Raw genomic sequence first — 12,974 nt, 5'->3', positions numbered from 1 at the left:
TCCAAGAGCTCCCGGCTAGTTAGTCTGACCTGAGTCTGTTTTCTTTTCTTTGTTTTTTTTGAGATGGACTCTTGCTCAGTCACCCAGGCTGGAGTGCAGTGGCAAGATCTCAGCTCACTGCAATCTCCGCCTCTCGGGTTCAAGCGATTCTCCTGTCTCAGTCTCCCGAGTAGCTGGGATTATGGGTGTGCACAACCACGCCCTGCTAATTTTTTGTATTTTTAGTAGAGACAGGGTTTCACCACGTTGGCCAGACTGGTCTTGAACTCCTGACCTCAGGTGATTCGCCCGCCTTCGTCTCCCAAAGAGCTGGGATTATAGGCATCAGCCGCTGTGCCTGGCCCTGTTCTCTTGACTGCTGTGCTACCATGGCATTATCTGGAGGTGCCTCTAGCAGGCCTGGTTGCTGTGCCTTAGTCTGGGCTTGACTAAGGGGAATCTGGCCAAGTGCAACAACAGGCAGGTGATGTGCCCTAGGATGGGCAGGCCTTGCAAGGAGTCCCTTTCTGCAGGTATATCATGGCCCAAAGGTGTGGTGTCACCCAGGCAATGGAGTGAGGGGACATACCCTCCGGATAGGCAGCGGGCTCTCACAGTGATAGAATCTGGATGCTTGAAAGTCTTGGTCAGCAAGCCACCCCACGGCATGTCTGTTATTCACCATGGAACTCCAGGAATTGGGGAATAGGGACGGGCCTCGGTCGATCCCAGGGGATATCGGATTTCACCGAGAAGGGGACTCAGGCCTGGGGTCAAGGTGAGGGCTGCAGCATCAGAACTGGCAGACAATGTCAGAAACATTTAGGAAGAGTGATGGATTCCCAGATCGGGGTTAGGAGCAGCTGCCCCCTCAAACGTTGGGGCCTCAGAGACCAGAATTTAACCCCCAGATCTGCCACTTTTGCTACGTGTGTCACTAGGTCATGTTGGGTAACCTCTGATTCATGGCTTGCTTATCTGTAAAAGGTGGGCGATGATAACTATCTTGCATGATGGTTGCAGGGGGGTCAAATCAGATAATATCTGCTTACCCAGAGCCTTGCAAATAATAGTTGCTTACCAAATGTCCTTGTATTTTGTTGAGTTGCTCTTGCCTTGGGTGGGAACTGACCTTTTAGAGACAGTGGTGGGACGGGGCAGGAGGTGAGTGGGTGGGGAGGGCTGAAGATGGTGAGAGACTGGAAGATTCCCGGGGTTCATCAAGTTAGTCAAGAATGACTTTGGGAGACCCTCCCACCCCCGGGTGCTAACCCCAGAACCAGGCAACTTGGGGGCTGTGGAAACAGAGGCTACTAAGGAAATAGAGACCAAAGAATGACTTAGCATACCTAGGATTTCAAGTTAATGAGTTGAAAATTATACCCAGGGCCAGGGAGCCTCACTGAGAGGTCAACCAAGCTTATCCTTGGCATTTCCTCCCCACCCCGACCTCTGCCTGGGATGTTCTCTGCTGTCATTCTCTGAGTGTATGCGGATACTCTCCTATCTCATCTGCAAAACAAGTGGCTTGGATGGGATGTTGACTAAGACCAACGAGATACCTTCCATGGTCTTAAAGATCAAAGATTTTACTTTTCTGTTAATCTGAGAACTTAGAAGGATCCCCTCCAAGTTAGAGGACTACATTTACAGCAGCTTAGATGAACAGAAAGGACTAGAAGTGAGAGTGATGGTAACAAGGGCAGTCACTTTCCATCTATAGTGCTCTGGAGTTGATGACAGTGCTCCGTGTATTAGGTTTCCTGATTAAAAACTGTTTATTTTGTAGCAGAGGCTACTGAGGGCCGGAGGTTGTTAAATGACTTGCTTGAGGTCACGCAGGTAGTGAGTGATAAAGTCAGCCTCCTAACCAGGGTTTTCCAGTCCTAACTCTGATACAAAGTAACTGTGTGAAGACATTGCCCATATCTAGGCCCCAGTCTCCCAATCTGTGAAATGGGTGGATTGTTCCACTGGCAATAAGATGTGGTGTTTTGTTTTGTTTTGTTTTGTTTTGTTTTGTGACAGGGTCTCTCTCTCTGTTGCCTGGGCTGGAGTCCAGTGGCATGATTCCAGCTCACTGCAGCCTCAAACTCCTGGGCTCAAGCGATCCTCCTGCTGCAGTCTCCTGAGTAGCTGGGACTACAGGTGCACACCACCGTGCCCAGCTAAGTTTTTTTTTTTTAGTTTATATGGGGTCTCACTATGTTGCCCAACCTAGTTTTGAACTCCTGGCCTCAAGCGATCCTGCCTTGGCCTCCCTGAGTGCTGGAGTTACAGATGTGAGCCACCGTGCCCAGCCAGATGTGTGATCTTATGGTTTGCCTTTTGCTCCCACACGTCAGAACTGGTGATCTGCTTGCCCTTGGAATGCCAGGGGCCGACCTGATTTTCAGGAAATGGTCCTTTCCCTGTGGGTGGGGAAGCTTCACTTGGTGCTGTTTGGTAAATAACTGTATTGGTCTCCGGAGGGTTTGAAAATCACATTTCTCCCTCTTATTGCTATGGGCGACTAACACTAGCTAAAGCTTGAAATCAGGCCCCAAAGGGTGGCCTCGCTGATGACTCTGGTTTCTCTTTTCACTGTCTAGGGCCCAGGGAGTTTCTCAGCATTTTTGATTGTGAAGGACTATAGAGGCCTTCCTGTGCCCAGAAAGGCCTTGCTTGGTGGGTGTTTAGTCCAAGCCCTTGCCTTCAGGCGGATGGACCAGATGACCTAATAAAGTTTCTAATAAAACCTCCTGGGCAGATCACCAACCTCCTTCCTCTTTAAAGTCTCATTGAGAGAGGAATGTCTACAGCATCCTTGGTAACACATTACAGTGTTTCACAACCCTCCTAGCCAGGAAGCTGTTCTTAATGTTTAACCTTAATCCCTCCCGCTGAAATTTAAGGCCCTTTTCTCTTGTTGAGTGCAAATGGAGAACAGCTGCTCACGCTCGTCGTCTGACATCAGCTATTTCTCAGGATGACCCTGCGAGACAGGCCAGGGTCATTAGACCCAATTTGGTTCTCAGCAAATATGTGTTTATTCCTGCATGCGTGGGCCACAGGCTGGTTTCTTGGGTGCAATGAATAGCTGCAGGTTTATTAGGGTGTCTTTTTAGATGGATGTATGTTTCCCGATGTCTATAGAACACTCCGGACCCCGGAGAGTGAAGACTCTGCCTGTCGGACTTGCTTTGAGAAGATCCTTCTCCACCTCCCCATGGCAGAAGTTGCTTCACAGAGGGGAACAGTTTTATGGATGTGGCTGAGACCTTAAACTTGAGGCAACCCATCTGAGGTGGCATCCAGAGGAGACTGGCTGGCCCCTCCTTCACCTTGGATGTAGTGCTGTTTCTAGGATCTCTTTTCAATCAGCAAAACAGGGGATGTTCCAAGAGGGTGTGGATTCCCTGCCATCCCACATGGTCAAGTGGAGGGGACGGGAAAAAGCTATGAAGGGTTTGTGACCACACAGACTCTCCTGGCCCCCTGTCCTTTTGGAAAGAAGACAGGGATGAAATATAATCAAGCAATTAACCACCCCCATCATCACCAAGAACAACAGTATCAACAAGAAGAACAGGGACAACAAAACCCACGGATGAAACATTCCTTTCTCAGCTCAGATCTTATCTGGTGCGTTCTCTCTCTGCTCTGTCTTGGTGTGTGGTTTAGAGAAACATGGACAACGCTGTTTGGAAGAACAGGTGAGCGAGGGTGGGGAATTTCAGAGGCCTGGGCCCACCGCCTCCACCCCTTCCCCAGTTTAACCTTTGACAGGATCTTCACCTCTCTCTGATCAGCATTGCTTCTTGTTCAAAGGCCTCAGCCACCCAGCTGTGTCCCTTTCCCCAGAAAGCAAGGGCAGATGGCAGTGGGTCTGTTGATGAGAGAACTTTAAGGGCCCAATCAGTCCCTGGGCACCCCCTCCTGGGCTCGTTTTCTCCAGGAGGCTGCATTCTGATCCATAAACCTTCTCCTCGGGGTTTAGGGTCGAGCTGTTCCTGATGTTTATCGGAGACTGGGATCAAAGCTATCCAGGTCATAAATCTCTCTCTGTGGCTGTTGGGCCCCAGGGCAGCTGAAGAGGGTTGACAGCCCTTTGGACCTCAAAGGAAAAAATGTGCTCTACTCCACCCACTCCCAGCTCTGCCAAGAAGCTGTCCTCTGAGAAGCCATGGCTGGGCCGTTCCATTCTGGGGAGCTGCTGAAAAGAGCTGGGAGGCCGAGAAGAACTTGCGTGTGCTGGGGGAGAGGAAGCCTGGCCTTGAGGGAGGGGTGCAGGTGTGGCTCCTCTGTGTGTGGGGGCTGGGGGACCTTGTGTGCCTTTTCCTTGTGGCTGTGAAATGCTTTATGAGTACTTCCATAGGAGGATGGACAGGGAGTCGGGGAGATAAACTCAGCCACAAGGCCCCAGGGCCTCAGGAAACTTGCACCCAACCCTCTCATTTTACAGAAGAAAACTGTGCCTGGAAGGTTGAAGGGTTTGTTCCCAGTCACACAACCAGGGATCCTTAGGACAGCCAGACCAGGAAACCATTTCCAAACTGCCAAGCCATGGCAGAGTATCAAGACCTCAGGAACCATCGAGACACCATGGAAGCATTGGGAAAAGCCTCCTTAGCTTTTGAAGCTCCTCATTGTTCTTGAGTGTGCATGGAGCCCATGACTGCGGGGTTTTGTAGACACCTCAGGGATTACATGACTGGTACCCCTGACAAAGTCAAGGCTGCTGGACAAAATGAGTCCGAGGATTTCAGGGGCAGCTGGGCGCAGGAGCTGGTGGGCTGTTGGGAGTGCCCCTTTACTGGGCAGGCTTCCTTCCTCCTGGTGATGGGGGGTTCCTCAGCACAAAAGTGAAGGGGTGGAGGGGCTGGAGGAGCAGGAATCTCTCTTGTTGATAGGTATGAGGCCTTGAAGTCCTTTTCTTTGTCCCAGGATTCATGGACGCTTCGGGGCTGATCTTTGAGTTTTCAAGCATGGGGTGCAGAGACGTTTAGGTAAACTCTTACCGTCCTCTCTCTTCGTCAGGGCTTCCCAGGAATCAACAATGCCCAAGAAGGAAGGGATTGTAGAAATAGCTTAACCCTTTCATTTACCAACGTGGAAATTGAAGCCCAGGGAAGGGAAGGGACCGGTCGTGGAAGGGAGAGCCATCAGCAGAAAGAGACCCTGAGATCTTCGCCTGGGATTCCCAGGAAGTCCAGCCCGAGCTGATTCACAGAACAAATGCATGCAAACCTTGCTATCAATAAATTACACATGCACTTACGTAAAACACATAAAAATATATGGCCTTGGTTTTGGAACAATACCCCACAGATAAAAGTAGCTTTAAATCCTCCATAAAATGATAAAGTCTAGTCCTAAACTCCTAGCAGTTCTGCGGGTGATCACAGGCGGCAGGAGCCGCTCAAACTTTAATGGCTTGGTATCTCCACATGTAGACAGGAGGCAGAAAACCATCGGGGATGAAGTCGTGGGCTCTAGAATTGCAAAGACGTGGGTTCCAGGCCAGGCTTGGCCCTTGCTAACTGTTGACCTTGAGCAAATTACCCAACCTGTTCCTTATTTGTTTCTGCCTCATAGGTAGTTGTGCAGATGAAATGATATCAGTTCTCAGAACAGTGCTGGGGACAGAGTACACTCTATGCTCAATACATATTCACTTTTAGAGATATCTTGGGATTCTCAGTCTAAGTGACATTCAAAAGTACCTCACTGGGAGGCAAGACCAAGGTGGAGCCTCCTCTTGGATGGGATGTGGGCCTATTTTATTTTACTTCTTTATTTTTGTAGGTGCATGCCACCACACTTGCTAATTAATTTTTTTTTTTTTTTTTTGTAGAGATGGGGTCTCACTATGTTGCTCAGGCTGGTCTTAAACTCCTGGCCTCAAGCAATCCTCCTGCCTCAGCCTCCCACAGTGCTGGGATTACAGGCATGAACCACTGAGCCCGGCACCTCTATTTTAAATCTATTTTATCTTTTGAGATATAGTCTTGCTCTGTCACCCAGGCTGGAGTGCAGTGGCGCGATCTCAGCTCCCTGTAACCTCTGCCTCTCGGGTTCAAGCAATTCTTCTGCCTCAACCTCCCAAGTAGCTGGGACTACAGGCGCCCGCCACCACGCCTGTCTAATTTTTTGTATTTTTAGTAGAGACAGGGTTTCACCATGTTAGCCAGGATGGTCTTGAACTCCTGACCTCGTGATCTGCCTGCCTCGGCCTCCCAAAGTGCTGGGATTACAGGCGTAAGCCACTGCACCCGGCTATTTTAAATCTACAGACAAATCACCCATGAAGTGCAGTGGGGGAATAGAGGGCTGGGCTCAGTTAATTCAGAAGAAGATTTATCCCAGGATCAGGAAATGAGAGTTTCAGATGTTGCCAGTAGCTTAAGTGGCTTTTAGGGCCTTTTTTCTGTCTGGCCAGGGCTCATCCTGGGCTGAGCTTTAAGGCCTGTTAGGGGCTGAATTCTGTCCCCCTCAAAGTTTATATGTTGAACTCATAACCCCAGTACCTTAGACTGTGACTGTATTTGGAGATAGGGTCTCTAAAGAGGTAATTAGGTTAAAATGAGGTCACTAGGGTGGGCCCTAGTCCAATAGAAATGTGTCCTTGTTGGATAAGGGGCAACGTGGACACAGACACGTGCAGAGGGGAGCCCCTGTGAAGAAGCGGGGAGAAGACAGTCACCTGCAAGCCACAGACGGGGCCTGTGAAGGAACCAATCCTGTCAATACCTTGGTCTTGGTCTTGGCCTTCCAGCCTCCAAAACCCAGAGGCCATCAATTTCTGGTGAGGCAGCCCTAGCCGCCTTTCTAAGCGTTCATACTCCTGGTTTGGCAGAGGGGAAGGGACCACGGCCAGCGCTTCTTAAACCTTCGTGTGTGTGAAACTCACTTCCTGGGGAGCTGGATCAAGATGCAGATTCTATGACCATCTAGTTTCCCCTTTCTCATCCCTTATCTAATTTGCTCCTCTGTGGAACTGTGTGAAGTAGACAGGGCAAGAATTTTCATCCCCATTTTCCAGATTAAGAAACTGAGTCTCAGATGGAAGAATCACAGCAAGTGAGAGGCAGTCAAGCCTCCAACTCAGGTCAAGTGAGGCGTCCTCACATCCCATGCCCCCCGTAATTTCCCGATCCCTAGCAGGGGCACCTGGGGAGACTCCCTGGTGATGCTGTGTCAGGACTCCCTTCTTTATTTTGAGACAGAGTTTCACTCTTGTCACCCAGGCTGGAGTGCAGTGGTGTGATCTCAGCTCATTGCAACCTCCACCTCCCAGGTTCAAGCAATTCTCCTGCCTCAGCCTCCCAAGTAGCTGGGATTATAGGTGCCTGCCACCATGCCTGGCTAATTTTTGTATTTTTAGTTGAGACGGGGTTTCACCATGTTGGCCAGGCTGGTCTTGAACTCCTGACCTCAGGTGATCCACCTGCCTCGACTTCCCAAAATGCAGGGATTACAGGTGTGAGCCACCGTGCCTGGCAGGGCTCCCTTTTTGACAGACACTGTCTTAGACCTCAGGCTCCCTCAGGCCTTCGCTCTTGGGGGTTGGAGCTGAGGGGAGGATGGAAAGTGTCCCTCCCCATCACAGCGCAGCTAGCTGGTGAGAGGGGCTGGGAGCTCCCGGATCTGTCTGGACATGCAGCCACTCCTGGCAGTCCCCACCCCTCCTTCCACCCAGCCCCTCTGCCTTCCAGCAAGTGAATGAAGTCAGGCAGGCCCTGGGCCATCCCGGGTGAAGGAGGGAGTGGGCATGGCTTGGCACTCCAAGGGCTCGCCATTGGGAGGGGCGTGGAGACGGTGTGAACTCCTTGGTGTCTTGCTCTTGTCATCTTCCAGCATGACATATGCACAAAGGTACCTTTTATAGGTGGGAAATTATAGGTGCTGCCACTTCAAAGGCCTTGGCAACCAGAGCTCCTCTTTGATAGATGACAGTATTATTAATGGTGATTTATTGCTGGGGCCATTTTGACAACAGAAATAACCAGTTTCCCCACCTTTTCGGCTCTCTTCTCCCACACCTTCCTGGGGATTTTTTTTTATTTTGGCTGGCCCTGTGTGTTTTTCTGGCTGCAGGGGTTACCTCCCTGCACGAGGAGGCATGGGAGGTAACCCATGGAGCATCTGCTTAAGGCACATAGTGAGGCATCTGGCTTATTAACTTGTCATCATGTGTCATAAAGTTTAGTGAAATGCTGGCAGATTGTAATCCTAAACAGGGCAATTACCCTCTTATTAAAGCAGTACTTTTTCTGTCTGTCTGTCTGTCTCTCTCTTATTTTTCTCTCTCTCCCTGCCTCCACCCCCTTTCCTGGGATTGTTGTTACCTCTGCCCTACTTGCACAATTAGTCATGAGCGGAGGTCACCTGCTTCATAATGATCCCAGAGTAGGCCTGGCCTTGGCGGGGCAGAGCTGAAGGGGAAGGGGCAAAGGAGAGCTAACCATGGTGAGGCTTGCTGCAGCAAGCTGGCCTCACGGGGCATGGGGACAAGGCGCTGTCCCAGGCGGGAGGCTGCAGTAAGAAGGTTGTGGTCTGAGGTTTCTGGCTGCAGGCAGCGAGAAGGAGAGAGGAGAGAGAGCTGACAGGAGCGACTGAGCCTCTGTGGACTTCGCCGCTCACCCAGATTTTCCGGCAGAGATGCCTCCCTCTGCCTTTTTCTCCCTCACTTTCGTATCTCGAAACACAGGTGGAAAATAAGAAAGGAAGTGGCAGTGGGTGATGGGGGCCTGGGACATGAGGACTCCTCACTTGATCTGAATTGGAGGCTTGGCTGCCACTCACTTGCTATGATTCTTCCATCTGAGACTCAATTTCTAAATCTGTGAAATGGGGGTGAAACATCTTGCCCTGTCTGCTTCCCACAGTTTTAGGGAAGATCAAATTAGAAAAGGGATAGGAAAGGGGATGGCTCATGGTAACTCACTCCACAAATCTGAGGGATGATTGTAATTTCATATGTGTGACCACAGGGTCTTATGTCATGTCTAACGGAGCTCTACCCCCGTGATTCCAAAGGATCGTTGACTATATTGAAATTTGGTCTTCTGTCTCTTTCTGTATTCCTCAGGGTTTTGATGACCTTGGTTTCTAAATCTGCCTGGGAGGCATTGTTTGACTCTGGTCTGAACAACAGGAGTTTTCGGCACAGGTGTGATCATGTTACCTGCACAGTGCGAGGTTAAGAAGACAAATGGGGGTAGGCTAGAGGCAACAGCCAAATCACAATTTGCCAGATCTGAAAAGACCTTAGAGATTACCTAGCTGAATTGTCCCCTGCTGTAGATTTGTAAATCGAGGCTCGAAGAGGTAGAATAACTTTCCTAAAAATCATCAGATAAATGACAGGCAGAGTGGAGACTAGATCTCCCATCGCCAGACTTGGCCCAGTGCTCTGTCCACCAAAGCATGTTGACTGCATCAACTCTGGGTGCACCTTCTCCTCCTTTATCATCAGTCAGCGTTCAGGAAAGCACTGCTAGCAGTCATTTACACCTTAGCATGAATTTAAGCCAACATTTAGTTCTCCCAGGTGCATTTGCTTTTTTTTTTTTTGAGATGGAGTTTTGCTCTTGTCGCCCAGGCTAGAGTATAATGGTGTGATCTCAGCTCATTGCAACCTCCACCTCCCGGGTTCAAGCGATTCTCCTGCCTCAGCCTCCTGAGTAGCTGGGATTACAGGCACCTGCCACCACGCCTGGCTAATTTTTGTATTTTTAGTAGAGACGGGGTTTTGCCATGTTGGTCAGGCTGGTGTCAAACTCCTGACCTTAGGTGATCTGCCCACCTCGGCCTCCCAAAGTGCTGGGATTACAGGCGTGAGCCACTGTGCCCAGCCGCATTTGCTTTTGAGGTCTCATCCCATTGTATAGATTGTTCCCTGTCAATGGCATTTCCAGCACTGGTGAGAAGAGAGGCAAGGCAGGGCTTGTGATTCTCATCCCCAAGACCCTGCCACTTGCCTACTCGCTCGGGCAATGAGGGCGGGCACTGCTTCCAGAGTTAAACTGCACTGGACCCAGATCTATGTGTCCATAAGTCAGAGCAAGTTTGTCAGAAGCTGTCAGGGAGTAAGGCTGAGTAGACGGATGGAGTCAGACTCATTTAAAAATGGAATACCAGCAGATAGGTTTAAAAATGGAATGCGGCCGGCTAGAGTGAAGGTGGTCCCTAAACCAAACACCTGTCCCTTCTGTGTGTTTTCTGGTTTCTTTCCCCATTGCTCGAGAATGCTAGAAGCCAGACTAGTATTAAGAACTCTAAATTCCTAGCCTGGCATGGTGGTTTACACCTGTAATCCCAGCAACTTGGGAGATCAAGGCAGGAGGGGATCACTTGAGCCCAGGAATTTGAGACCAACCTGGGCAACGTGTTGAAACCCCATCTCTACAAAAAATACAAAAATTAGTCAGGCATGTGGTGCATGCCTGTAGTCTCAGCTACTTGGGAGGTTGAGGTGGGAGGATTGCTTAAGCCCAGGAGGTCGAGGCTGCAGTGAGCCATGATCGCGCCACTGCACTCTAGCCTGGGTGACAGAGCGAGACCTTGTCTCAAGACAAACAAACAAACAAACAAACAAAAAACTCTTAAGTTCTAAGTGCCTGGAGCAGGGAGTGTTTCTGAGGCCTCATGTTTACCAGGGCACTGTGCTATGTGCAGGGTAGTGAGGGGGAGAGACACCATTCCAACATCTTGGAGCCCAAGTCTAGAGTCAGGGCCACAGAGGCGGGAGAGGAAGAGAATCCCACTGCAAATGGGCTGGGCCTCCCTGCCTTTGCCCATTGAGTGAGCAACAGTGCTGTTTCTATAGGTCTCTTTGAGCCTTAAGCATGGAATGTGATGAGACTGAACAGTGATAAAATGTATTGATGGAACTTCTGTTCATTGAAATGCAAAGGGGAAGAAAGAATTTAGAAATGATCTGAGGTTTCCAGCTTGGGGAGAGAGAAAGTGAGAGGAAGTGGGGGCCTAAGGGGAATGGAATGAACAGCCCCGACTTCAGGCTTGTAGACTGCAATGGGGCAAGGCAGCTACATGCAAATGTCCTTCCTGGAGCCTGGAAACAAGGTCAAAGCAGAGATGGACAAGTAGGAGCGCAGCCTAGAGGAGATAGGTGATGCCTGAAGCCATGAGAAGGGGTGTTATCTCTGCAGGAAGAAGAATTGCAACACTCCTCCCAGCTGAGCAAACAGTCTGGGCTGGGATGTGAGTGGTATCACACTCTGCACTCACTTCCTCCTTCAGTGGTCATTTGAGAGTTCACTGGGGCTGACCTACCCCATTGGTCCTGGAGGACAGAAAGGAATGGAGAATAAAGAAGGTCTAAGGTGCAGTTTTTCCCCCTCCTCCAAAGCCATGAAGGGACCTATGGATTTGAAAGCTGTGTGTGGTCACTGTGGACAGAGTGACTCCTACCCCACTGGGGGGCTTTGCCAGCCAAGGCACAAATCAAGCCTTCTCTTTGCCCTCTGAAGTCAAAGGGAGAAGACCGGGGTTGTCCATCTTTATAGGCAGCCTCAGATGATCCAACCTAATATACGTCATTAACAAATTGTGTGATCTTGAACAAGTCAGTTTATCTCATTGTGACTCAAGTGAACATAAGGGTATAGAGCATTTGCCCTGCTGACCTCACTGGATCATTGTGAAATAATAGCTAATGAGATGGTGCATAGCAGGTGTTTTGTAAACTTAACAGTGATAGGCAAAGCTTAGTTCCCATGAGAATGACTCTCTGACTATTATCTATGGCATTGGAATACTGACCTCCCTTCTCTGAGAAAGCTCCAGCGGCAAAATGCTTCTGATCTCAAACTTTAGGACCAATTTTCTGGTTTACAGGGCAGGACGAGCCCCTTCTCTTAAGGATCAAGGGGATGAAGGAGAATTCCCTGCTTTTGGTGGGGGGTTACTTCTGAAAGCCATGCCCTGCTCCCATCTGAGGAGGTCACCCAGTCCTAGTTTTGTCTGGAAGCACCCTGCCCAGCCCCAGGGGCCAGCCCCATCCCAGCCAGGCCTCAGAGATGTCAGACCTGAAAGGCAGCTGCTGCCTCTCCTTCTGACAGGTGTCTCCGCCAGAGCTGGGAGATGAGGAGATAGGCGAGCTGAGCACCTTTCCTCCTTGAATTGATAACTGCTTTGCAATGCAGCTCTGTACTTGCTAAATGAAACCTCCTGCCCCACCATGATGGATTTATGGCTGAAACATCTTATCTCAACTGAGAATATTTTATGAGTGTGCATGGGTGTGTGTGGGATAGGAGGAGGGAAAAGGCAGTTTTGCAAACATTTCTAGAGGTGCTCCATAATCTGCCCTACCCTGAAGTATTATCTAGAAGCTCTTTCTAGATCTGCCAGGCTTAAGCATCTATAAGTCTTCTCCAGATGCTAGCACAATGTAGATGCCTCATGAAACATTTGCTGATGATGATGATGACGATGATGACGATGAAGGCTGTGGTCTGGAAGGGGACTCTGTTTTTGATAAGTTTAATTCAATCCAGCAAATATTGAACAAATGCTCATTTTTGTTCAGGGCTAGGAAAGCTACTATTATTATTTTTTTGGTGGGGTGGAGAAAGGGGAGAGTTGGAGAATATAAAAATAAATGACACAAACTCTTTTCTCTACATCCTTGGTCTATACTGAGGGGCCAGGACATGCACATTCGGAGTGGATGTGGAGCAGAAGGGGTTGGAGTGGCAAGAACTAATGGCCCAGAGTGTAGCTTCAGGAGCTGGACACACCTGGTGGGATCTTTAGGTAGTTTCTTGTCTTTTGAGCTCCTCAGTTTTCTCCCCTCTAACAGGGGGACAACACTATTCCCTAGCTCTAAGGTTGGTGTGAAGGTCATAGGATTTGCGTAGGGGTTACTTGGTACCATGTGGGGTCAGCAGCTCAGTAGCATCACCAACACGAGGATGAAGATGAAGGACCGACTCACTGACGAGGGTGGGCTGGAGATGACTGGGAGCCAGGAACCATCACAAACT

At 49.7% G+C, this 12,974-nt stretch overlaps 1 long non-coding RNA gene across 3 annotated transcripts in view, besides 1 other annotated feature; it reads left to right on the top strand.

Moving 5' to 3' along the window:
• The first annotated feature begins 2,895 nt into the window (after positions 1 to 2,895).
• The window catches only part of LINC01605 (long intergenic non-protein coding RNA 1605), a 196,324-nt gene continuing 186,245 nt past the window's right edge, over positions 2,896 to 12,974 (top strand). For all 3 annotated transcript variants that reach the window (NR_170186.1, NR_170188.1, NR_170187.1), the window contains exon 1: positions 2,896 to 3,674. This is a non-coding gene — a long non-coding RNA (long intergenic non-protein coding RNA 1605). The remainder of the gene's footprint in view (positions 3,675 to 12,974) is intronic.
• Positions 7,079 to 8,000: an enhancer, noted in NCBI's record as "H3K27ac-H3K4me1 hESC enhancer chr8:37452253-37453174 (GRCh37/hg19 assembly coordinates)". NCBI's record gives its function as "activates a minimal SCP1, AML or CMV promoter by ChIP-STARR-seq in naive H9 embryonic stem cells {active_cell/tissue: H9 hESC(naive)}" and the evidence as "EXISTENCE:reporter gene assay evidence [ECO:0000049][PMID:30033119]".

This window comes from Homo sapiens, chromosome 8 (assembly GCF_000001405.40).
Source record: "Homo sapiens chromosome 8, GRCh38.p14 Primary Assembly".
NCBI lineage: Eukaryota > Metazoa > Chordata > Mammalia > Primates > Hominidae > Homo > Homo sapiens.
Note: the sequence above shows the minus strand (reverse complement) of the source record. Positions and strands in the feature narration are given on the sequence as shown.